The 25,661-nt window shown below is 43.1% G+C and overlaps 1 protein-coding gene across 4 annotated transcripts in view, besides 5 other annotated features; it reads left to right on the forward strand.

Annotated features, from left to right (window-relative positions):
• AGK (acylglycerol kinase) overlaps positions 1 to 25,661 on the forward strand; it is a 103,835-nt gene that overhangs the window by 9,522 nt on the left and 68,652 nt on the right. The gene's annotated exons all lie outside the window — the stretch shown is intronic.
• Positions 23,432 to 23,989: an enhancer, noted in NCBI's record as "OCT4-NANOG-H3K27ac-H3K4me1 hESC enhancer chr7:141284163-141284720 (GRCh37/hg19 assembly coordinates)". NCBI's record gives its function as "activates a minimal SCP1, AML or CMV promoter by ChIP-STARR-seq in naive H9 embryonic stem cells {active_cell/tissue: H9 hESC(naive)}" and the evidence as "EXISTENCE:reporter gene assay evidence [ECO:0000049][PMID:30033119]".
• Positions 23,990 to 24,545: an enhancer, noted in NCBI's record as "OCT4-NANOG-H3K27ac hESC enhancer chr7:141284721-141285276 (GRCh37/hg19 assembly coordinates)". NCBI's record gives its function as "activates a minimal SCP1, AML or CMV promoter by ChIP-STARR-seq in naive H9 embryonic stem cells {active_cell/tissue: H9 hESC(naive)}" and the evidence as "EXISTENCE:reporter gene assay evidence [ECO:0000049][PMID:30033119]".
• Positions 25,039 to 25,178: an enhancer, noted in NCBI's record as "active region_26789". NCBI's record gives its function as "activates an Ori minimal core promoter by ATAC-STARR-seq in GM12878 lymphoblastoid cells {active_cell/tissue: GM12878}" and the evidence as "EXISTENCE:reporter gene assay evidence [ECO:0000049][PMID:35858748]".
• Positions 25,039 to 25,660: a biological region, named in NCBI's record as "H3K27ac-H3K4me1 hESC enhancer GRCh37_chr7:141285835-141286391".
• Positions 25,104 to 25,660: an enhancer, noted in NCBI's record as "H3K27ac-H3K4me1 hESC enhancer chr7:141285835-141286391 (GRCh37/hg19 assembly coordinates)". NCBI's record gives its function as "activates a minimal SCP1, AML or CMV promoter by ChIP-STARR-seq in naive H9 embryonic stem cells {active_cell/tissue: H9 hESC(naive)}" and the evidence as "EXISTENCE:reporter gene assay evidence [ECO:0000049][PMID:30033119]".

Below are 25,661 nucleotides of genomic sequence, written 5' to 3' on the forward strand. Positions count from 1 at the left end.
TACAGGTGCCTGCCACCGCACCCAGCTAATTTTTTGTATTTTTAGTAGAGACGGGGTTTCATCGTGTTAGCCAGGATGGTCTCGATCTCCTGACCTCGTGATCCGCCCGCCTCGGCCTCCCAACATGCTGGGATTACAGGCGTGAGCCACCGCGCCCGGCCCATTATTTCAGTTTATTTTATGGCTGAGTAGTATTCCATGGTGTATATATACCACATTTTCTTTAGCCACTTGTTGGTTGATGGGCATTTAGGTTGGTTCCATATTTCTGCAATTGCAAATTTTGCTGCTATAAACATGCATATGCAAGTGTCTTTTTCATATAATGACTTATTTTCCTTTGGGTAGATACCCAGTAGTGGGATTGCTGGATTTAATGGTAGTTCCGCTTTTAGTTATTTAAGGAATCTCCATACTGTTTTCCATAGTGGTTGTATTAATTTACATTCCCACCAGCAGCGTAAGTGTTCCCTTTTCACCATATCCATGCCAACATCTGTTATTTTTTAATTTTTTAATTGTGGCCATTCTTGCAGGAGTAAGGTGGTATCTCATTATTTTTTTTAATTTGCATTTCCCTGATGATTAGTGATATTGAGATTTTTTTCATATACTTCTTGGCCATCTGTATATCTTTTGAGAATTGTCTATTCATGTCCTTAGGCCACTTTTTGATGGAATTATTTTTTTTTTCTTGCTGATTTGTTTGAGTTCCTCTGTGGTGGAGTGCCAGTAGGGAACAAGGACCTCTTCTCCAAGGCCCTATGTGATCACAGAGGCTGCCTGCCTATTGGGGTTTAGGTGCAACTTTCCCTACTGTGTCCAGTGCTGCAATTTTGTCTCTGCTGTGAGAAACTACCCACAAGCAGAAGGATCTGGAACTCAAGGCCTGCTCTTCAGATTCTTTTGTCCCATGAGGCGATATCTTGATGTGGTGCTCTCCTGCTCCTCCTAGGGATGGGGCTTCCTGAGAACCAAAGTGCAGTGATTGTTACTGGTCTTCTGGATCTAGCCATCCAGCAGGGATAGCGGGCTCTAGGCTGGTGCTGGGGAATGTCTGAAAAGAGTCCTGTGATGTAATCCATATTCAGGTCTCTCAGCCATGGGTACCAGCACCTGCTGTGGTGGAGGTGGCAGGGGAATGATGTAGACTCTGTGAGGATCCTTGGCTATAGATAGGTTTAGTGTGCTGGCTTTCTTGAATGCTGGTTATGCAAGCGGTGAAGTTGTCACATGGATAGACTCAGGACCTTTGGTTAGCCAGGATGTTGCAGGCAGTGGTATTAGCTGTTGTTTTCTCCTTCTCGGGAGCAGTGTTACTCTGTCATGAGTTGCGGTAATGTCCTGAGTTGGTTGGCCTTCAGCCAGGAGGTGGCATTTGCAAGAGAACACCAGCTGCGGTAGTAATAGTGGGATTTGAACTTGCCATAAGTTGGGGCAAGTATTCTGGTTTCTCAGGCGATGGGTGGGGCCATAAAGCTCCCAAGAGTTTCTATATTTTGTGTTCAGCTACCAGGGCTCATAGAGAAATACCTTCAGGTGGGGGCAGGGTTAGGTGGGTCTGAGCTAAGACTCTCCTTGGGGAGGGCTTGCTGTGACCACAGTAGGGTATGGGGAGGTGGTTCTCAGGCCAGTGGGGTTATGTTCCAGAGGGCATTATGGCTACTTCTCTTGTGCCGTATAGTTCACCAGGGAAGTAGGGGATAACTGATAGTGAAAGGCCTCATCCAGCTCCCACGCATTTAGTGTGGCTGGTCTCACTTCCAGAGTGCTCTGCTAACAGTGCCAAGTTTAGATCCAGGCAGCCTGTGCGCAGAACTCAGATCTGCCCCAGGTCATAAGCTTCCCCGCTGAGAAAGCAGGCAAGGCTTTCAGGCCATGCTTCTCGCTGTCTGCTCACAATGTTGGTGGCTCCTGCAAGATATAGTCAGGGATGGCATCTTTGGGCTTGAGCTGGAGACTGTGTGCCTACAAGGTTTTGCCCACTGCTGCTTCTACTTTTTTATTTCACAGAGTTTCCTAAATTTGTTCCAGCTCTAGGTAAGGTTAAATCCTTCTCCTATGATCTGGATTTTCAAATTCCCCAGTGGGGATGTGTGTTCAGAGGTGGGTTTTCCCCCCTCACACTTTGGGGAATCACGGTTTTTCGTCTGTCTTGCAGCATTTGCAACAGTGTGTTGCTTCTTTCAAAGCATCTGTGAATTCTTTCAGTTTTCCTGGTACATTCCTGTGGTGGTTCTTGGAACAAAAGATCACAGTGTGATTCTCCACACACTGTTCTGTCTGTCCAGGTGGGAGATGCAATGCACATTAGCCCTGCCTTTTATCTGTCATCTTGCTCCCATCTCTGTCCTTTCAAATGGGATCAGGGTGTAAGGATGTTGGGATTCTCCTGGCCCTTCAGTAGCTATTCCAAACCATTTATCTTCCATCTTATACATCTTCCATCCTTCAAGACTTTTATCTGGCTATCCAATAAAACTATAAATCTTCCAGCCTTCTGGGATCTCAGTTACATTCAGCTTAGGCTTTGGCGCCTGGCTTATCAATGCCATTTTCTTTCTAAGTCCTGTTATCTTCCCGGACACCCTGAGTGTCCATGTGGATGACCTACCTAACAACTTGCCCCCACTTTCCTTGACTTCTTCTGTATCTGTGACTTTGACCCACTACTCCACCTTCTTCCAACTTCACCCCCTTCTCATTGGTTGAATGCTAAACTTTATCATCACTTGCTCCTGTTCCACTTCTGAAATATGGAACTTCAGTATCCCATTCTGTCATTACGGCCTTCTATTATTCCAGTTTTTCATTCCATTACTTCTGCTCTTCAGTGTTATTAGGATTTCTTGTCCCTTGGCTCCTCTGTTTTCTTCCCAATCCATCACTCTTCCTTGCTTTTCATCTTTTTCATATCGTAGATTCCTTGATCCAACACATCATACGTTCCTCAACTCCATTTTTCACATGTCATTCCTGGGCTTTTTAAGCTCTCATTTCCTCTCGTTTTCACAACTAAAGGTTTGTTTCTGTTGTTGTTGTGTTTAGAGATGGGATCTCGCTCTGTCACCCAGGCTGGAGTGCAGTGGTGTGATCATAACTCACTGCAGCCTCAAAATCCTGGGCTCAAGTGATCTTCCCACTTCAGCCGCCTGAGAAGCTGAGACTATATGTGCATGACAGCACACCCTGCTGATTAAACCTTTTGAATAGGTTCTCTCTGCTTTCCTATCTCCCTCTCATGCCACATCCTCTCCAATTTTCATTATAATTATTTTCACCAGTTTTATTTTGCATTCTTCTTGACCACTGTATTAGTTTGTTCTCATGCTTCTAATAAAGATACCTGAGACTGGGTAATTTTAAAGGAAAGAGGTTTAATTGACTCACAGTTCCACATGGCTGGGGAGGCCTCAGGAAACTTACAGTCATGGCAAAAGGGGAAGCAAACACATCCTCCTTCACATGATGACAGCAAGGAGAAGTGCTGAGCAAAAGGAGGAAAGCCCCTTTAAAAAAACCATCAGATCTTGTGAGAACTCACTCACTTTCATGAGCACAGGGTGGAGGTAACCACTCCCATGATTCAGTTACCTTCCATTGGGCCCCTCCCATGACACATGGGGATTATGGGAACTGTAGTTCAGGATGAGATTTGGTGGGGACACAGCCAAACCATATAAACCACTCAGCTTTAGACACAGTTGACTCTCCTCGAAATGCTTCATTTCTTTGTCTTTTGACTCCCATATTCCTGTTTTTCCTCCTCTGTCTCTGGCTGTTTCTTCTTCTTCTCCTTTGTTACTTTTTTTTTTGAGACAGAGTTTCACTCTTGTTGCTCAGGCTGGAGTGCAACGGCATGATCTCCACTCACCACAACCTCTGCCTTCTGGGTTCAAGCGATTCTCCTGTCTCAGCCTCCTGAGTAGCTGGGATTACAGGCATGTGCCACCACACCTGGCTAATTTTGTATTTAGTAGGGACGGGGTTTCTCCATGTTGGTCAGGCTGGTCTTGAACTCCCAACCTCAGGTGATCCGCCCTCCTCAGCCTCCCAAAGGGCCGGGATTAAGGTGTGAGCCACCGTGCCCAGCCTCCTTTGTTACTCTTCTCTGCCCTTCTACTCAGACATTAGAGGAGTAGTTCTCTAGGACTCTGCCCTAGGCCTTCTTCTCACATTATATTCTCTTCCTGCATGATCTAATCACTCATGATGTCTTCAGTTACCAGCAATATGAAGCCATATCCCAGATTTTTGTCTCTATAAAGACCTCTTTTGAATTCCAGACCTGTATATACATTCAGCTACTTGTCTATTTGGATGCTTCACAGGTGCCTCAAACTTAACAGATGGAAAATAAAGTAAAAAGTTTTCCTGCCAAACCTGTTCCTTCTCAGTAATTGGTACCACTCACCATCCATCTAATTTCCCAAACTAGGCTAGGCTTGGTGGCTCACACCTGTAATCCCAGCACTTTGGGAGGCCGAGGCGGGCAGATCAACTAAGGTCAGGAGTTCGAGACCAGCCTGGCCACCATGGCAAAACCCTATCTCTACTAAAAATACAAAAGTTAGCTGGGTGTGGTGGCGCATGCCTGTAATCGGGAGGCTGAGGCAGGAGAATCTCGTGAACCCAGGAGGCGGAGGCTGCAGTGAGCTGAGATCGTACCACTGCACTGCCTGGGTGACAAAGAGAGACTTCGTCTCAAAAAAAAAAAAAAATTCCCAAACTAGGAATTTAAGCATCATCCTTTATCCTCCTTCATTCCCTGCATCCAGGTCATACATTCTAAAGGATTTTGCTCCCTCTACATCTCTTAATGTATTGAGTTTCTTTATCCTGTCCTCACTGTCTTGGCTTTTGTCCATACTACTATTGTCGCTTGCCTGGGTTCTTAATAACAGCCTCCTCACTGTTCTGGCACCTACTTTTGCCTGTTCCTAATCCATTTTGGATACCGTTGCTAGAGTAATCCTTTGTAAGTACAGATTGCTATTGCTTTGAGACTCAAGCACAATATTCTTACCAGCTCTACATGTGCTTGGCCCCTGCATACATCTCTAGACTTGCCACATTTTATACTTTAACACGTGGACCTTTCCGATCTTCGGAAGTGACATGTTCTTTCTGTTTCAGGATTTCTTGGAATGTCCTTGCACATGTTGTTCTCCGCGGAACATTCTGACTTTCTCTTCTTCCTGAGACAACTATCATTTCTCCAAGTCTCAAATGTTATTTCTTTAAGCAAGCCTTCTTTGTCCTCTCTAGTCAGGATTAGGCAATCATCTTACATTTTCTCCATAGTACTATGAACTCCTCCTATATATTATTCATTGCTATTGTGATTTTCTGTTGTTTGTTTCTTCTGTTATAAGACTCTACAGGCAGGGGTGCTGTTTGTCTTGCTCAGTGTTGTCCTGCAGGCCCAGTACATAGAAGATACTTGACACACATTTTATTTATGAAAGATGGAACAAACAAGAGAATGAAAGGATGAGTGTGCAGAGGGCAAATATCAACCTTATTGTCTGACCATTAGGAATTCACAAACCTAGGCTGTTGAGTCCTTCTGAAGGAAATTATACCCTAAATTCATAGGTTACTCTTTCAATTTCTACAACATTTATTTTGAAATACTCATGAATTTCCTTACCCGCTCTATGTTCTCTATACTTATTCTTAGACAACCTAACTCCTAGTTCAAAGAGAATATAAAAAACATGGGCAGTTACCCCAGAGTGCATATTGATGTTCTGTCTCTCTGTCTCAGTGGCTGAAGCTGCCATCCTCCTGTTCAGCCCCTCTGACTCTCATCCCATTGTTTCACCTCCCATTGGTTGTCCATTTCCTCACTTGTATCTTTAGTCTCAGACTTTCAGTTTCTCTCTCCCCTATTTGTCAGAATCTTGCTCATACATCTTCACTCAAGTCTGCATTCCCATGTGTTTGGTGACCTGTTCTCATCTTCCATTGACACCGTCCTCAGAAGTGTACCTCACACTTGCAGTCCTACCTCCATTTTAGAATAAGCTTAGTAAAATGGCTTGTATCCCATCATCTGATTGAACCTGCTCTTGATGAGGTCATTAATGGCCTCTTAGTTGTTAAATTAAAGGGATACTTTTCATGCCACATTTGATTTTCTTGGCCCATATCCTTTTAGGTATCTTTAGATATCTTCCTGCTTTGTTTGTGCCTTGAATGTTGGTGTCCCTCATGTTCCATTCTCATTCTACACACTCTGTAAGGGATCACAACCACACAGTTGTTTTCAGGTATGATATATGGATTTTGGAGTCATCATATTTTTGTAGCCCAGGTACTGCTTCTCTTGACATTTTGTATGAATAGAAAACAAATATTTTTTGGTAACAGATTTGTGAAAAATTGCATATTTTAATTTCTTTTTATCTGACCCCTTTTGATTACTGCTCTTAGTTTGTCTTTTGGTATCAGATATTATTTATTTGGAGGTTCTATTCCATTTTTACTGTATTTATAATTTTTTTTCTCCATTGAGAATTCCACCCCCTTCTTTTTCTCCCTTCCCCCAAGTTTCAAAGAAAAAAAAGTCTGTGATATTTTTCCCCTCTGCATAATTTCCCCTCAGCAGGTTGCAGCAGTTGACAAGAGCAGCAGGGACTGCTCTCAACTGGAGAAGAGCAATTGCAGAGGAGAAAATGACCCTGTTTGCTGAAAGTAAAGACAGTTTAAGGATTGCTCATTCCTCTTCAACTGCTTTTACCAAGCTTTCCAGCTTCCCTGGGGAAGATTATGTTCCAGGTTGTTCGGTTTATCATGTCAGCAGTTTACCTGCAATAGTCTGTCACTCATTTCTGGTCCTTTTAGTAGCAAAGAGTCTGCTAATAAAAAGTAGCATAAGAAAGGAGGCAGTGGAGTATAAAAGTTGTCTCTGGAGTTGGACTGAACTGACGCTTCCTAGCAGTGTGACCCTGTGCTCTCTAAGCCTTAGGTTCTTCATCTGTAAAATGGGGATAATAATAATATCTCAATGGGTCACTGAAGGATTGATTAAGTGATATAACTGGAAAGCTGTTAGCATCCTGTCTGCTAGATTTAAGGGTTGAATAAATGCTAGTAATTGTGAGTAAACTTGATATAATACATACTCAGCCCTGTGGAAGTTAAAACCAAGTGCTGCTGGTGACTGGGTTGTGAGTGACTTGAGAGACTGCCAGTGGGAAGGGAGATGTGGATCTGCCAGGTGGTCTAAGGTCTGAGCCTTTTATTTATTTCGCCTTTCATATGTAACAAGACAGCTTGGAAAAGTATAGTTTCAAGACTGACCCAACATAACTACAAAAGAGGCCTGCCATACATGGTTAAAAGCAGCAAGCCGTGTCGGAAGCCTTTTCCATCTGATTTGGGCTCAGATTATTCCTGCATCACTGGGGACCTTGTCCTCGCTCTTCCCAGCTCTGGTCTGTCTCCGCATGATTTTGGCTGGTGAGCTTTGGCACAACTCCCCAACTAACTCCCTTGGCTGAGCAGTTAACAATAGCTTGGCTCCTGCTTAGTTCTGGCACATGGTTCTCAGTTTACTCCTTTGGCTCAGTGCTTCTGACACCAGTTCTGCTACCCACCTCAGCCTGTGACCCAGGGCCATCCCATTTCTTTCTTTCTTTTTTTTTTTTTTTGAGACACAGTCTCACTCTGTCACCCAGGCTGGAGTGCAGTGACACGATCTTGGCTCACTGCAACCTCCACCTCCCAGGTTCAAGCAATTCTCTTGCCTCAGCCTCCTGAGTAGCTGGGACTACATGTGTGTGCCACCATGTCCGGCTAATTTTTTTTTGTATTTTTAGTAGAGATGGGGTTTCACCATGTTGGCCAGGCTGGTCTTGAACTCCTAACCTCAAGTGATCCACCCTCCTCAGCCTCCCAGAGTGCTGGGATTACAGGCATGAGCCACCACGCCTGGCACCTCCCATTTATTTCTATGGAGCATCTAGCTTCTCAGCTTAGGATCCTGGTACTTTCCTGGAGATTTTAAAATCCCACAGACACCATAAATTCCTTGACATTAAGCTTGCAAAGCAAGTGTGCTACTGTAGCAATGGTCCTGGTCCTTGTGTTTAAGGGTTTTAATTAATACTGGAGTTTTCTTTCTCCAAACATAGGAACATTAATTTTGATTACTGTATATTGGCTTTTCTAAGCATTGGTGCAAGCCACCTTTCAAGTTCTATGGTCAAAAACAGTTTCTTAGAAGTAGTAAAATTAAATGGTTATGAGTTTGCCTGAGGGGTGTGTTCAGTGTCATTCGATTTTACTGAGAACGTACTACTAATAATAATGATAGGCTGGGCGTGGTGGCTCACACCTATAGTCCCAGCACTTTGGGAGGCCGAGGCGGGCACATCACGAGGTCAGGAGATCAAGACCATCCTGGCCAACATGGTGAAACCCCGTCTTTAATGAAAATACAAAAATTAGCCGGGTGTGGCGGTGTGCGCCTGTAGTCCCAGCTACTCAGGAGGTTGAGGCAGGAGAATTGTTTGAACCCGGGAGGTGGAGGCTACAGTGAGCTGAGATCATGCCACTGCACTCCAGCCTGGGCAACAGAGCAGGACTCTGTCTCAAAAATAAAATAAAATAATAATAATAATAGCTAATACTTAATCAGTGATTGCCATGTGCGAGGCACAGTTCTGAGCACTTTACATTTATTAACTCATTTCATCTTCCTTATAACTCTATGAGATGGTTATTAATCTCATACTCATGTGAGATTAATAGCCCTATATAGATGAAGAAACTTAGGGGCAGCAAGATGAAGTAATTTGCTCAAGGTCACACAGCTGGTATCAGAGCCATCATACAAAGCCAGATAGTCCTGATCCTAACCTCTCAAAATGGCCACTGTGTCTTAGGAGCGTGAGAGAGATGAAGAACTGTAAGCTGAGATTACCTTCTGTCATAAAATCCATTTGGAATAAGAGAAATTGTTATACCACAATGCTTCAGAGTGTGAGCTTCTGAGCCAGTGGAGTCTGGGTTTAAGTCTTGCCTTTGCCACTTTCTGGATGTGTGACGTTGGGCAAGTTATTTAACTTGTTAAACTTCACTTTTATTTACCTGTGCAATATGTCACAATATTATCGTGATGCTAATCACTGCTCCTGGCACATATTAAAAATAGTACCTATTTTAGGCCAGGCGCAGTGGCTCACACCTGTAATCCCAACACTTTGGGAGGCTGAGGCAGGCGGATCACGAGGTCAGGAGTTTGAGACCAGCCTGGCCAACATAAGGAAGCCGCGTCTCTACTAAAAATACAACAAATTAGCTGGGCATGGTGGTGGGCACCTGTAATTCCAGCTACTCGGGAGGCTGAGGCAGCAGAATCACTTCAACCCGGGAGGCGGAGGTTGCAGTGAGCCGAGATCACGCCATTGCACTCCAGCCTGGGTGACAGAGTGAGACCCTGTCAAAAAAAATTACCTATTTTTATTAGAGATGTATAAGGCACTACTATGTGCTATGTTCTGTTCGAGGGGTACAAAGTACATGTTAAGGATGTCTAAAGAAAAAAATTAATTTAAAAAACTTTTTATTATGAAAATCTTATGCATATAAAAATTAGAGAATAGTATAATGAATCCCCAAGTAACATTTACTGAGCTATAGCAGATATCAATATTTCACTAATTTTGTTTCATCTATGTCCTCTACTTTTTTTTTTTTGTTTTTACTGGAGTAGTTTAAAGTAAACCCAGATATTATATCATTTTACCCATAAATATTGCAGTACCTTACTCCAATAGGAAGGGACCTAAAAAAAAATCACACTGTCAATGTGATTATCATGAACTTGAAAAAAACAAAAATTCTTTTATCTAATATTCAGTCTGTGTTTCTATTTTTCTTATTGTCTCCACATTGTTTTACTGTACATTTTGTTCAAATCAGTATCAAAATGAGTTTCTGTCTCTTAAGTCTCTTAAAGTATAACTCCTCTTCTTTTGATAATATTTACATGTTTTAGAAACTAGGTCTACGTTTGCCCTGTAGAATTTTTCATACCCTCGACTGGGCAGATAGCTTCTGCATAGCTGTGCAGAGCCATATGGGAGCCTGAGGCAAGAAGAAAAACCAGTGATACTGGCCCTGACTTTATTTAAAATTGTGTTATTATATTCATTATAACTTTTTTGCATTCATTTTTGATTTTGGAAAATACCTATTAAAATATTTATCTCCAGTACTGTATTTTTTGGCACACCTTTAAATGGTGCCCTTGAGGCAAGTGCCTCATCACTGTGTTCTAGCCCCAGCCATGAGTTGCTTAATTTGTTCCTCTATCCCTCCTGTGTCTTGTCAGCTGGTGATTAGATCCACATTCTGGAGCTTTGCTATTCACAGTGTGGTCCCGCAGCATAAGCATCTCCTGGGAGCTTCTTAGAAATACAGACTCTTAGGCCCCATCCAGAACCTACTGAGTCAGAATCTGCTTTTTAACCAGATCCCTAGATGATGTGTTTGCTCATTAAAGTTTGAGAAGTACTGAGTGGAGCCATAATTAGATTCCAGTGCAATTTATTTGGCAAGGATGCTTATAGGCCTGTGGTGAATTGCTTATTGTATAACTTTAAGAGGCATATATTGTCTAGGTGTCCTGTTTTTGGTGATACTAAGATTGATCAGTAGATCCTCATGTGATCAGCTTGACCCATCCATGAAAGTTAAGAAGGATCACTTCTTAGAGTTCACTAGAGCAAAATGGTTAAGAAAGGGGGCTCTAGAGCCCAATAGTATGGATTTGAATCTTGACTTTACACAGCAAAGCAACCCTGGATAGTTACTTAACTGTTCTATGTTTCAAGTCTCTATCTGTAAACTGGAGATAATAGTAGTACCCATTTCACTGGTCATGCAGATTTTTTTTAGAACAATGCCTGACACAAAGAAAGCTCTCAGACAGAAATAACACTTCTTTTCTTCTTCTTTAGTCTTTTCCCTCCTCATCAGAGAAAGCATCCTTACAAAGATATCATTTGAGTTAAGTCCTGCAGAATGAGTTGGACAGTGTTCTAGGTGATATTAATTACTTAATTATAAGCAGAAAATGGGAATTCACTCCATATTTTTGGAGAGTGGCAAAGAATTAGACTTGACTGTAAAGTTGCATGTTTTCAGGAGGATGGGGGAAAATCCAGCTGATGGAAGGCTTTGGATATAGGAAGTCTGTAGTATTTGGGGAACAGTGAAAATTTTTAAGGGAAGAGAATGTCATGAACAAAGTAGCATTCAAGAAGTTTCATGCAGCACACCTGTGCAGCAGGATACATTTGAAGGAAAAAAGTCTGAAGGTTAAGAGTGCATTTAAATAGTTTACACAAAAGGTAATAAAGGCCTAAACCAGAGTGATGGCATTAGGAATGGAAGAACTTGTGGGTGGATGTGAGATTGTGATAGTGTGAATAATACATGAGCATGGGTGCCAAAGGCAGGGGGTGTCTCTGCTTTGAGTTTTGCTGCTTACTAGCTATGTGGCCTTTATCAAGTTACTTAACCACCTGAACCTCTGAGCCTCAGTTTCCTTATAAGTGTAATGGGAATAATTACACCTGTTTGGCAGGTTAGTTGCAAGGATTAAATAGGTGTGTCAAGTGCCTGGTACTGTGCTCAGCTTATAGTTATCCCTCAATAAATGCTAGTTATTATTATTACTAGGTAGTTGACTGGGCATATGATTGAAGGAGAGGAAGGTAGTAGAAATGATTTTTTGGCTTCAAGACTAGGATAATTGGTGATATAGAAATAAGAAAGTTGCCAGGGAGAATTGGTTTAAGGAGGAGATTTTATATTCTGTTTTAGATACGTTGAGTTTGAAACCCCGACAGGCTATGGGGGGGGGAAATGTGTTGGATGCCGGGGTAAATTATGCATAAGCCACACTTGACTAGACTCATAGATTTACTTTTGGTGCAGATTATGGTTTCAATAATGGTTTGTGCTCCGTTTTTCAGTATCTTTGGGGTTTCTGACAAAGCAGATGTCTTACCTTGACATCAGTTCAGATTAGACTCTGACTTTGCAGTCAATGGTCTGGGGCCTGGCGGCTTCATCCACAGCTGAAGGTAGGGAGGTTTTTTTCCCCCTCATGGCTTTTCCTCATTCAGATTCTGCTGACATTTGAAGAAAGCAGTTTGTTTTGCTTTTTAGCCATTTCAAAGTTTATCTTTTTCTCTCTGTGCACAGGCTGATGCTGAAATTGGGGTATTAATGGGTGCTATTTAAAGAAGCTCATTTATGGGCAATTAAATAACATGCCTGTCAGCCCAGATTTGATAGGGAATAGGGGAACATTTTTAAATTTTTATTTTAAGTACAATGAAGTTTAATTATATTTCCTTTCTTTCAACTCTTTTGTTAGATTATCCAGAAAGCAGATTTCTTCTTTTAAAAAAAAAATCTATATATTTATTTTGCTTCCTCCCCTCTCTCTTGGGAGTGGTGGGCTGAGATGGGCAGCCAGTATATTTAATTTATATTCTGTTTTGTTGATTTCACATGATTTTAAGGGAGTTTTATATCAATGGTTTTACACGTTCCAAGCGTTACAGAGAGAATAATCCAGCTGATGCTAAAACTAGACCCTCTGTAGGTAGTAACTGACATCTCAAACATTTCATGTCCCAGAACAGCAAAAAGATTGACAGTAGTAGCTGCTAACTTATGTGTTTATAGGCCGGAAGTTGTCCAGATCTGTCACGTATTCTGGAACCCAAAGTAAATATCATTTCACGCACGCTATTTATAGAGAACAACTTGTGAGGCAGAGGGACGTGGGGACATAGGGACTCTCTCATTCTATTCTTTCTTCTGGAGTAGCTGTCAGGAGCTCTATGTAATCTGTTTTCTCTCCTTTTTCTTTATTATTATTATACTTTAAGTTTTAGGGTACATGTGCACAATGTGCAGGTTAGTTACATATGTATACATGTGCCATGCTGGTATGCTGCACCCATTAACTCGTCATTTACTCTCCTTTTTTTTTAAATGTAAATAGATTTGAGTACCTTGTATGTAATTGAGTCTCATTATATATATTTGTTTATAATTGTATATGCAAATACATAATGGCTGATGGCACAAAAAGAACTAGTAATTTGGTTGCCTAGTAAAGATAATGTTACACAGTATATGGAAGAACAGTATATGGCATAAAGTATTTAAATTGGAGTGTTGGATGGAAGCAAATAAATGAAAAAAGAGCAGAAAAATGGAAGAAGTGACTGGACCATGAAAGAATGTCAGTGCTTATGAGAATTAGGGGTAGAAATCATTGAAAAAATGGCTGGTGGTAGAAGGTCAGAGAAGGATGCCCATTAGTGGTACCCAGAGCTTTGCCTGATGGTGGTACAGTCTGGACTTCAGCATAAACATAGCAGCCAGTCAGAGGCAGAACTTTTTCCCCAGTGCCCACAGAACTCAGCTGACTAACGTGGGCTCCTGTGAATATTAGGAACAGAAATTGATATCTCGCGGAGACCTGAGGCTAGGATAAGAGAGTGAAAATAGAAAAATTTCATGTTCTAACAGGAGAAAAAGTGAGCTATGAAGACAGGCTTCCTCCACTTCCATTTCTCTTGGTCAATAGAATGAGGGGATAAACTGCAGAACTATCCTCTGGTTAATGAAAAATTCTGCAGAACAGACCAAAATGATTAGCTTAGTTATGTGAGAGAAGCCTCCAGGCGATACATTTTTCATTAAGTCATTTCCCATCCTGAACTGGAGAGGGAACAAATTGTGTGGAGAAAATCTGAGAAATTAGAAGGTACTTGAAGTATTCACAAGTAGTAGCTTGTTCCACCTGAGTGCATAGAAGTGTAGAGTACAGTGGTTGGGATTTGATAAGAAGGGAAGTTGTGGTTTTGGGATTTCTATACTTTATTTCAGGGAGCGAGAAAGAATAGGTACCAAACTGGAGCTTTACTGCAGCCTTTAGCTGTTATTTTAGGTGAGGTTATTAGGTTATTTAGGTTATTTTAGGTGAGGCCTTCCCATGGAGGGCAGACGTGGCGTTTTGGCTAATAAGTGTTCTTGAATTAATGAATTCAAGTGGGGTTAGGTTTAGCTGGGCTTTTTCCTAAACCCACTTGCAGGGAAGAAAAATGGTAGTAATCACTATAGTGATAAATCATAAATTGAGGTGACGTAAGTGTGGCATTTGCCAGTACATATGGTGGAACAGTGGACAGCACTTTCTTGATTGCGTTTTTGTCATTTGAGAATGTCTGTAGAGAACAGAAGAGAAGCAGAGTATTGAGGGGGAAAATGCCATGTTGAGAAGCAGGAGACTTCAGTTCTAGGCCTAAGCCTTTTAGTAACTTCTGTCCAAGTGGGCAAATCACCAGGCCAGATGCTTTTACAGACTAGGTCAATTAGTTATTTTCTGGGAGCTCTAAGGAGATGACAGCATCCTGCTTAAGTGAACATACCAGAATCACTTGGCACTTAGAGACCTGAGCTTATAGAATTACATGTGCTCTGTGTGTGTGCCCAAATGAGAATTATTGCTGTATTGAACTTTGTTACTAATGGGATATTGTCATATATTTGTTTCAGGGGTTTCAGGGTGTGTAGAGAGGTTGACAAGCATTGGACTAGATAATTTCTAAGGACTCTTCCAATCTGAAAAACTAAGATTTCCAGGAAATGGAAATTGGGCTTAGATGCCTTTTACAAAGGCCTTTTTTTTTTTTTTTTTTTTTTTTTTTTTGGGCCTGGCTGCTTCTAGGGCTTTCAAACTTTCACAGAAAATAAAAATAATTATAGTAAAAACAGGGATTTTAGACCTGAAAATTGCTGTAAATATTTGGAAGCCATGGTTAAACAGTGGGTAAATTCATATCTCTGGGGTGAATCACAATCTCATGTAATGAGGTAAAACATATTTTGGCAAAAGGCTGCTGGGAGGATTGACTTTATTGAGACACAAGATGCTGCAGCCCTGTTTGTGTTGGTTCATTCCTCATTCCTTGGAATAGCTATTTTGTCAATTTAAATGCTGAATTAAACAATGAACTTGCTAACTATGAACTTGACTTCCTCCCTTCTTTCCTTAATGCTTCCCCACTTCTTGGAACAAAAATGCTCTTGGCTTGCTTTCTATTAATATTAAATATGTTGATCGTTGCCTTGTTAAATATACCACTAACTAAAGAAATTCATTCAGAGGAGCCATTTGTAAACCAAAAATATATCAATAAATTTTCAGTGCCACCAAAGAAATAGCACTGGAACATACATTTAATTTTCTCAGCAAGGCAATTTTTACTTCTATAGAAGGGTGTGATTCATGGATGGAGCAATGGTGAGAGCACACCTGAACAAGGAAGGAGAAGGGATTCTTATTCCTGATGCAGGTAGCCCCTACTGCTGTGTCATTCCCTTGTTGTCTAGGGTTGGACCACACAGTCTAAGCTAATTCCGATCTGCTATTTTAAAGAGAGCAGGGGTACCAGCCAGAGTGGCAGGGTGAGTAGTTTGGCAGGAAGGGCAGTTACAGAACAGGTAACTCAGGATGAGTCAGGATGGAGCAGGTGACCAGGGGTGACTCAGGTCAAAGCAGATGACCAGGGGAACAGATTTGAACTACTGATTAGAACTGGTGGGATACTAGATACTAGATACTGGATACTAGATACTGATACTAGAGACAAGGGGGCGAAGAGTACCAGGAAGTTAAACCTTAAAATGGAGAATCAAAGAATAAGAGAGCTGAACATACTGACATAGTGATTCTTTGAAGACAAACTTGGAGTTCACTATATCTAACAAAAAATAAAATTCAGGCCAGGCGTGGTGGCTCATGCCTGTAATCCCAGCACTTTGGGAGGCTGAGGTGGGCGGATCACAAGGTCAGGAGATCGAGACCATCCTCGCTAACACGGTGAAACCCCGTCTCTACTAAAAATACAAAAAAATTAGCTGGGTGTGGTGGCGGGCACCTGTAGTCCCAGCTACTCGGGAGGCTGAGGCAGGAGAATGGCCTGAACCTGGAAGGCAGAGCTTGCAGTGAGCTGAGATCATGCCACTGCACTCCAGCCTGGGCGACAGGGTGAGACTCCGTCTCAAAAAAATAAAAAAAATAAAATAAAATTCAAAGGTCTCCCCAGCCCCCTCAACTATCTAAGTGGACTCCCTCCTCAGCCAGGGCACTCTAAAATTTAACCTGAAAGACTGGTTTGGGCCATGAAAGGAAGAGTAGCGGTGAGAGGGACAGGCCTCATTCTGTCTTTCCAGGGTTAACTTCAGCACCAACCTTAAGGCTGATAAGAAACATTTACAATCCATTTTCTCTGAAGCTTGCTACCTGGAGATTTCATCTGCATGATAAAACCTTGGTCTTCACAATCCCTTATCTTAATTCAGACATTGCTTTCTACAGATAATAACTTTCAACCAATTGCCACTCAGACTATGTTTAAATCTACCTATGACCTAGAACCACCCCCCAGTTCTGTAGTAGGACTTTTCCTAAGTTCAGCTAAAGACAGGGTCCTTGTCATGTGACCACAAAAAATTAGGCTTGCAGACAATTTGAAGGGTGAGAAAAATGGAATTTATTGGGCAAAAAGGCAAAAATAAAGGGAAACAGGGACTGTCAGCAGAGTGAGAGTCCTGCTACCATAGCCTTCCTGCCTTGCGGACTGAATTCCAGGTTCCGCCCCAGAGCAGGAGAGGCCAGTCTCCTCCCTGCTGCAAAAGGCAGGAACTTCCTGAGGCTTCACCCCAGTGTGCACTCCACCCAGTGCACAGGCCGGTTGGGGTTTCTCGGGGACCCCTTAGTCTTGGCTGTCTCAATTCAAGTTGTCCTGCCCTTCCAGATCGAATGCCCCAACATAAATCTTCTTTTTTTTTTTTTTTTTTGAAACAGAGCCTCACTCTGTCACCCAGGCTGGCGTGCAGTGGTGTGATCTCTGCTCACTGCAACCTCCCAGGTTCAAGCAATTCTCCTGCATCAGCCTCTCAGGTAGCTGGGACTACAGGTGCATGCCACCACGCCCAGCTAATTTTTTTGGAATTTTTAGTAGAGATGGGATTTCACTATGTTGGCCAGGCTGGTCTCGAACTCCTGACCTCAAGTGATCTGCCTGCCTTGGCCTCAGTATCACGCGCGTCCATGTGAAGAGACCACCAAACAGGCTTTGTGTGAGCAATAAAGCTTTTTAATCACCTGGGTGCAGGCGGGCTGAGTCCAAAAAGAGAGTCAGCGAAGGGAGATGGGGTGGGGCCATTTTATAAGATTTGGGTGGATAGTGGAAAATTACAGTCAAAGGGGGCTTGTTCTCTGGCTGGCAGGGGTGGGGGTCACAAGGTGCTCAGTGGGGGAGCTTTTGAGCCAAGATGAGCCAGGAGAAGGAATTTCACAAGGTAATGTCATCAGTTAAGGCAGGGACCGGCCATTTTCACTTCTTTTGTGATTCTTCACTTGCTTCGGGCCATCTGGACATATGTGTGCAGGTCACAGGGGATACGATGGCTTAGCTTGGGCTCAGAGGCCTGACATTCCTGCCTTCTTATATTAATAAGAAAAATAACATAAAATAGTATCGAAGTGTTGGGGCAGCAAAACTTTTTTGGGGGGTGGCATGGAGAGATAATGGGCGATGTTTCTCAGGGCTGCTTCCAGCAGGAGTAGGGGCAGTGTGGGAACCTAGAGTGGGAGAGGTCAAGTTGAGGGAGGATTTTGTAGTAAGGGGTGACATTGTGGGGTTGTTAGAAGGAGCATTTGTCGTATAGAATGATTGGTGATGGCCTGGATGCAGTTTTGTATGAATTGAAAAACTAAACAGAAGACACAAGGTCCGAATAAGAGAAGAAAAACAGCTATTAAAGGACTAAGAATTGGGAAAGTCCAGGACATCCAATTAGAGAGTGCCCAAGGAGGGTCAGCATAGCCCTGCCAGCAAAGATTATTTATGTACTTTAAGAGGGAGTTAAGAGTGGCAGTTTGGGGATAGCACCAGGAGATATCAGCTATGATGGCTTGGAGAAACAGTGTAAACCGGCAGTGTAAACAAGAGCAGGGCATTTATGAGTAGTTGAGAATGGTGAATAGGAGTATGACTAGACAGAAGATAGTAGGGATGACAAGTTTTTGGGGCACAGTCCAAGTTGGGCTGGTGTCTGGAATGAGACTGGGGCCTAATAAAAAGGAGCATTCATACAGGAGCTCAAATGGGCTGTACCCTGTAGCATTCCAAGGACAGGCCCGAATTCTGAGAAGGCAAAGTGGTAAAAGTATTGTCCAGTCCTTTTTAAGTTGGTGGCTGAGCTTGGTGAGGTGTGTTTTTAAAAGACCATTAGTCCGTTCTACCTTTTCTGAAGATTGAGGAAGGTAAGGGGTATGAGGGTTTCACTGAATAACAAGAGCCTGAGAAACTGCTTGGGTGATTTGACTAGTAAAGGCCGGTCTGTTATTGGACTGTATAGAGGTGGGAAGGCCAAACCGAGGAATTAAGTCTTACAGAAGGGAAGAAATGATCGCGGTGGCCTTCTCAGTCCCTGTGGGAAAGGCCTCTACCCATCTAGTGAAAGTGTCTACCCAGACCAAGAGGTATTTTGGTTTATTGACTCGAGGCATGTGAGTAAGGTTAATTTGCCAGTCCTGGGCAGGTGCAAATCCCCGAGCTTGATGAGTAGGGAAGGGAGGGGGCCTGAACAATCCCTGAGGAGTAGTAGAATAGCAGATGGAACACTGAAAATTGATTTCCTTGAGGATAGATTTCCATGATGGAAAGGAAATGAGAGGTTCTAAGAGACGGGCTAGCGGCTTATAACCTACATGGAAGAGGCTATGAAATGACGACAGAATAGAATGGGCCTGTCAGCCTGGAAGGAGATATTTTCCTTGGTCTAAGAACCATTTGCCTTGTGTGGGAAGAGATTAATAAGTGGAAGTTTCAGTAGGGGAGTAGGTGGGAGTGACCAATGAGAAGGAGAAAAACTGGCTGTGAGGGACAGAAGTTGGAATGCTAGTGGCTTTTTTAGCTACCTTATCAGCATAAGTGTTGCCCTAAGCAATGGGATCTGACGCCTTTTGACAGCCCTTGCAGTGAATGACTCCAGCTTCCTTCGGAAGTAAAGCAGACTTGAGAAGAGTTTTTATTAAAGAGGAGTTAATGATGGAGGACCCTTGCATAGTGAGGAAACCTCTTTTTGCCCATATAACAGCATGGTGGTGCAGGATATGGAAGGCATATTTAGAGTCAGTATAAATATTGATGCGTAGTCCTTTTGCAAGAGTGAGGGCCCGAGTTAAGGCAATGAGTTCGGCTTGCTGAGAGGTAGTGGAGTGGGGGCAGAGTGGTAGCTTCAATGATAGATGTGGAAGATACTATAGCATAGCCTGCCTTTGCTGGTGAGTGGCAATTAGGCCTGGTAGAACTGCCATCAATAAACCAAATGTGATCAGGGTGAGGAACAGGAAAGAAGGAAATATGGGGAAATTGGGTGAATGTCAGGTGGATCAGAGAGATACAGTCATGGGGGTCAGGTGTGGTATCTGGAATAATGTGGGAGCCTGGAATGAAGTCCGGACCGGGAACAATGGTAATTGTGGGAGACTCAACAAAGAGTGAGTATAGCTGAAGAAGCCAGGGAGCAGAAGGTATATGTGTCAGGTGTGAGGAAGAAAATAGATTTTGGAAGTTATGAGAGCTGTAGAGAGTGAGTTGAGCATAGTTTGTGATTTTGAGGGCCTCTAAAAGTATTAAGGCAGCAGCAGCCACTGCACGCAGACCATGAGGGCTAGGCTAAAACAGTAAGGTCAAGTTGTTTGGATAAAAAGGCCACAGGGCGTGATCCTGGTCCTTGTGTAAGAATTTCGACCGCACAGCCCTGCACTTCAGCTGTATGTAATGAAAAGGGAGTGAGTGATGAGTTAGGGAGAGCTAGTGTGGGAGCAGCTTCTAAAGCTGTCTTCAAGGAATGGAAAGAGGAGTGGGGAAAGGATTTAGGATCTATGGAGTCAGCTAGGTTTCCTTTTATGAGTGTATATAATGGTTTTGTTAGGATGGCAAAACCAGGTATCCAAAGGCGAAAGTGTCCAACCATGGCCAGGAAGGAAAGGAGTTGTTTTGTAGAAGGGGTTGGGGTTTGAGAGATCAGTCGGACACGATCGGCAGGGAGAGCACGTGTGTTTTTATGAAGAATTATGCCGATATACGTAACAGATGAAGAAATTTGGGCTTGACTGAAGTAATGGGGGCTGTCTGTGAAGTCTTGCGGCAGTACAGCCCAGGTAATTTGCTGGGCCTGATGGGTGTCAGGGTCAGTCCAAGTGAAAGCAAAGAGAGGCTGGGATGAAGGGTGTAAAGGAATAGTAAAGAAAGCATGTTTGAGATCCAGAAGAGGATAATGGGTTGTGGAGGGAGGTATTGAGGATAGGAGAGTATATGGGTTTGGCACCACAGGGTGGATAGGCAAAACAATTTGGTTGATAAGGCACAGATCCTGAACTAACCTATAATGCTTGTCTGGTTTTTGGACAGGTAAAATGGGGGAATTGTAAGGAGAGTTTATAGGCTTTAAAAGGCCATGCTGTAACAGGCAAGTAATAACAGGCTTTAATCCTTTTAAAGCTTGCTGTGGGATGGGATACTGGCATTGAGCGAGGTAAGGGTGATTAGGTTTTAATGGGATGGTAAGGGGTGCATGATCAGTTGCTAAGGAGGAAGTAGAGGTGTCCTATACTTGTGGATTAAGGTGGGGAGATACAAGGGGAGGATGTGAATGAGGCTTTGAACTGGGGAAAAGGGTGGCAATGAGGTGTGGCTGTAGCCTAGGAACAGTCAGGGAGGCAGATAATTTAGTTAAAATGCCTAGACCTAATAAGGGAGCTGGGCAGGTGGGGATAACTAAAAAGAGTGCATAAAAGAATGTTGTCCAAGTTGGCACCAGAGTTGGGGAGTTTTAAGGGGTTTTGAAGCTTGGCTGTCAATACCCACAACAGTTATGGGGGCAAGGGAAACATGCCCTTGAAAAGAAGGTAATGTGGAGTGGGTAGCCTCCGTATTGATTAAGAAAGGGACGGACTTACCGTCCACTCTGAGAGTTACCCAAAGTGTCTGTGATGGTCCAAGAAGCTTCCGAGGCAACTGGACAGTGTCAGTCTTCAGCCGCTAAGTCAAGAAGATCTGGGAAGGAGTCAGTCAGAGCCTTGGGCCGGTTGGACAGTCCAATTTCCAGTGGGGTCCTGTACAGATGGGACATAGCTTAGGAGGAATCCCGGGCTGCGGACATTCCTTGGCCCAGTGACCAGATTTCTGGCACTTGAAGCAAGTTCCTGGGGGAGGTGGTCCTGGAGGAATGCCTGGCCGCTGCGGTTTAGGTGTTTGGAAGTTCTTGTGTGCTGGAGATGTGGCTGGGGTTTCTCTCACAGTGGAGACAAGGAATTGCAATTCAGAAATACGTTGCTACTTGCCTGCCTCTACTCTATTATTGTACACCTTGAAGGCAAGGTTAATTAAGTTCTATTGTGGGGTTTGAGGGCCAGAATTTAATTTTTGGAGTTTTATTTAATGTTGGGAACCGATTGGGTAATATACTGTATATTGAGAATAAGACAGCCTTCTGACCTTTCAGGATCTAGGGCTGTAAAGCATCTAAGGGTTGTTGCCAAATGGGCCATGAACTGGACTGGGTTTTTTATATTTGATGAAAAAGAGCCTAAACGCTAACCAATTTGGGAGAAGTTGGATAAATAAAAAGGAGCATTAACCTTGATTATGCCTTTAGCTCCAGCCACCTTTTTAAGAGGAAATTGCTGGGCAGATGGGGGAGAGCTAGCCATGGAACGAAACTGTAAGCCAGACCGGGTGTGAGGAGGGGAGGTGATAAAAGGATTATAGGGTAGGGGAGCGGAGGCTGAGGAAGAATTGGGACCTGGCTCAGCCTGGTGAGGAGCAGCCTGGGGAGGAGGGGAGAGGTCAGATGGGTCCATAAAAAAGGAAGATTGGAAAGACTCAGCAATACTTGGGGTTGGGACTGAGGGGACAGGCAGGAGGGAAAGAAGGAAGATTTGGGACAAGTTGCATTGGGAACAGAGACTAGGAAGGGACCGATGTGTAAAAGAATGCCTGGACATCAGGCACCTCAGACCATTTGCCCATTTTACGACAAGAATTATCTAGATCTTGCGGGATGGAGAAATTGAAAGTGCCGTTTTCTGGCTTTTTGGAACCATTGTTGAGTTTGTATTGGGGTCAAGCAGTATTGCAGAAGAAAATAAGGCATTTAGGTTTTAGGTCAGGTGTGAGTTGAAGACGTTTTAAGTTCTTGAGAACACAGGCTAAGGGAGAAGAAGGAGGAATGGAGGGTGGAAAGTTGCCTATAGTGAAGGAGGCAAGCCTAGAGAAAAGAGATGGTAGAGACATGGAGAGAAGGGGTGGGGGTGCTTGCCCCCCAGGAAAGTGGAGAGGAGAGAGAGGGTAGAGACACGGAGAGAAGGGGTGGGGGGGTGCTTGCCTCCCAAGAAAGTGGAGAGAAAAGAGAGGGTAGAGACACGAAGAGAAGGGGTGGGCGGTGCTTGCCCCCCAGGAAAGTGGAGAGAAAAGAGAGGGTAGAGACATGGAGAGAAGGGGTGGGGGGTGCTTGCCCCCCAAAAAATGGTGGTTGCCACTAAGGGTGAAGGATCTAGGAAGGTGTCCCCATGGTTATCAGACACCTCTTAAACATGGGTGAATAATCAAGCAGGCATCCCCACAGTGATTAAACACCAAGGGAAGATTGTCTTCCTGCGTCCGTGACTGGTGCCGGAGTTTTGGGTTCACGGATAAAACATGTCTCCTTTGTTTCTACCAGAAAAGGAAAGGAACTGAAATTAAGAGAAGGTAGAGACGGAAAGATGGCACCAAGATTGAAAGGAGAAAGAGGTTGAGGGATAGTGAGAGAGGTTGGAGAAGAGAGTAAAAAGAGGCCGCTTACCTGATTTAAAATTGGTGAGATGTTCCTTGGGCTGGTTGGTCTGAGGACCTGAGGTTGTAGGTGGATCTTTCTCATGGAGCAAAGAGCAGGAGGACGGGATTGATCTCCCAAGGGAGGTCCCTTGATCTGAGTCATGGCACCAAATTTCACTCGTGTCCATGTGAAGAGACCACCAAACAGGCTTTGTGTGAGCAATAAAGCTTTTTAATCACCTGGGTGCAGGTGGGCCGAGTCCGAAAAGAGAGTCAGCGAAGGGAGATAAGGGTGGGGCCATTTTATAAGATTTGGGTAGGTAGTGGAAAATTATAGTCAAAGGGGGTTGTTCTCTGGCTGGCAGGGGTGAGGGTCACAAGGTGTTCAGTGGGGGAGCTTTTGAGCCAAGATGAGCCAGGAGAAGGAATTTCACAAGGTAATGTCATCAGTTAAGGCAGGGACCGGCCATTTTCACTTTTTTTGTGATTCTTCACTTGCTTCGGGCCATCTGGACGCATATACATGCAGGTCACAGGGGATACGATGGCTTAGCTTGGGCTCAGAAGCCTGACACTCAATGTAAATCTTAAATGTATTGATTGCTGTTATTATGTCTCCCTAAAATGTATAAAAGCAAGCTGTACCCCGACCATTTGGGGCACGAGTACTCAGGACCTCTTGAAGCTGTGTCATGGCTGTGTCCTTAACCTTGGCAAAATAAACTTTCTACATTGAATGAGACCTGTCTCAGATATTTTGGGTTCACACATTTGACCTAAAAATTCCTGAACACAAGTTGGTGTAGTTTTTACTAGTGTAGGAGGCAGTGCTGTATATTTGTCCTTTGCATTTGATAGTAGAATTTTTAGCTGTTTTTCTTTTGCTAAACTTTTCACCATCAGCAATGCAGATGTTGAAATTTTAATGCAATTGCCTCTGTGGCCCTTATTTTCACTCACATCTTCTAAGCACTCTAAGGGGCATTGAAATGAAGACAGCCACCACTTAATATATGGTTGTCAATAGGATTTCTTCCTGACCGTTTATGCTTTCATGACATTAGGAAACTTCTTTGTTGCATTGGGCTTGGGAGAGGTAAGAAGATACAAATTTCTTTGGTAGCAGGTAGTGCATGATGGTGTGGTTTGGAGAACAAGAAGAGATAACCTTGTTTGGTTAAATGGGGAAGACCAGACTGGTAGGCCCTAAAATCCTTTTAAAAATCATTAACATTTTCATTGTTCCCTTGGCTTTCTGACCTGTTACACTGCATACCTTCTATCCAAATGGAGATTCTGTCGGCCGAAAAGATCAAGCATTCTTCCTTAGCAAGATGCATTTCCTCCTGCTGGATCAGCTGTCTTTCTGTCAGAAAGGCAGAGCTGGTCACTATTTTCCCATTATCTGTTTGGGTAGGGAGTCCGGGAAATGGGGAGGGCTATGCAATATATAGTTTAGAAAAGCTCTCTCCCTCTGCACACACTTTTAAGATTCATTTTTGTCTTTGCTCCCATTTCTTTCATTCCTATTGCTCCATGGGCAACCATGGGCACAGCCACTGGCAATATCATGATTAATTATTCTAGGAAGCCTGGATAAGTTGAAGTGGTTGTTATAAACGTCTAAACTTGAAATCTATTTTTTTTAAAGCAAAGACTGTGTTTGCATGCACCAAGGGAAAAGCTGGTGGTAGAAATTGCTGTACAATTTGCCTCTAGACTGTAGTTGGAAATATTCTTTTTGGGAAATAGGACAGATCAAGGTGGTTTTTCTCTCCATGTAAAGTTGCTATTGGAATAACAACTTGTCTTATTTTACAGTCCTAAAGTAATAAATAAAACATTTATGACTTGGAATAAATTGAGAGCATCCCATTACCTATAGTAGCAGGCATGTTCTTATTCTTTTCAAGCCTCAGGCAGAGTGACATCAGCAGATTTTTTTCATTTTCTAATCCAGAGCCTTCTAATTTCTTTCTGTCAAAGAACCTGCATTTTAATACTGAGCAGATCTGCAGGGACCCTTTTTGATATGACTACGTTTTGTAGCACCTCTTTTAAATTGTATTTAACTTCAGTTCTCAGAAGACAGCATGGTGTAGTGGAAAGAACATGGGCTTAGAATTTATAGAGTGTACTTTTTTTTTTGGTTGGCTTGGAAATGAGGTCTTCAGTTCACATTCAGATTCTTGACTCATTAGTAATCTGGAATTTTCTGATGACCACACTCAGAGTTCTTCTAGCTACAGGGCCACTTCTTGTGGTGCTTGTGGTGTGTCAAAAGGAACTCCCCGCTTAGCCTCTTTAGAGGGTACTTCTTCCATTACACTCTACACACCCACACACCCTGGGAGCTTCTTGATCTGGTAACGTTTTTGTGCGTTTGGAATTTTTTAGTTTTTCATCCTGTACTACACCATAATGACTCTTACCCTTGCCCTTTGGTGATTATCACATTGGAGAAACATCCCCGCTCATCTGTGCTTTCAGAATGCCAAATCCTCATACAAAGAATAACCTTCAGTTTCTCCTGCAGGACAAAGCATGCCTGTCTGAGCACAGTGAGTCAATCTCTCCTGTTCAAACATTTGCCACTTATTTATTAAACAAGTATTTACCAAGTACCCTCTATCTACGAGTGTGTGCTGTGGGCTGTGGATGAGAAAATGGTGAATTATCCATGATTTCAAGAAGTCTATAATCTAGGAAGGAAAATAAGAAAAG

Source organism: Homo sapiens, chromosome 7 (assembly GCF_000001405.40).
Source record: "Homo sapiens chromosome 7, GRCh38.p14 Primary Assembly".
NCBI classification, from domain to species: domain Eukaryota; kingdom Metazoa; phylum Chordata; class Mammalia; order Primates; family Hominidae; genus Homo; species Homo sapiens.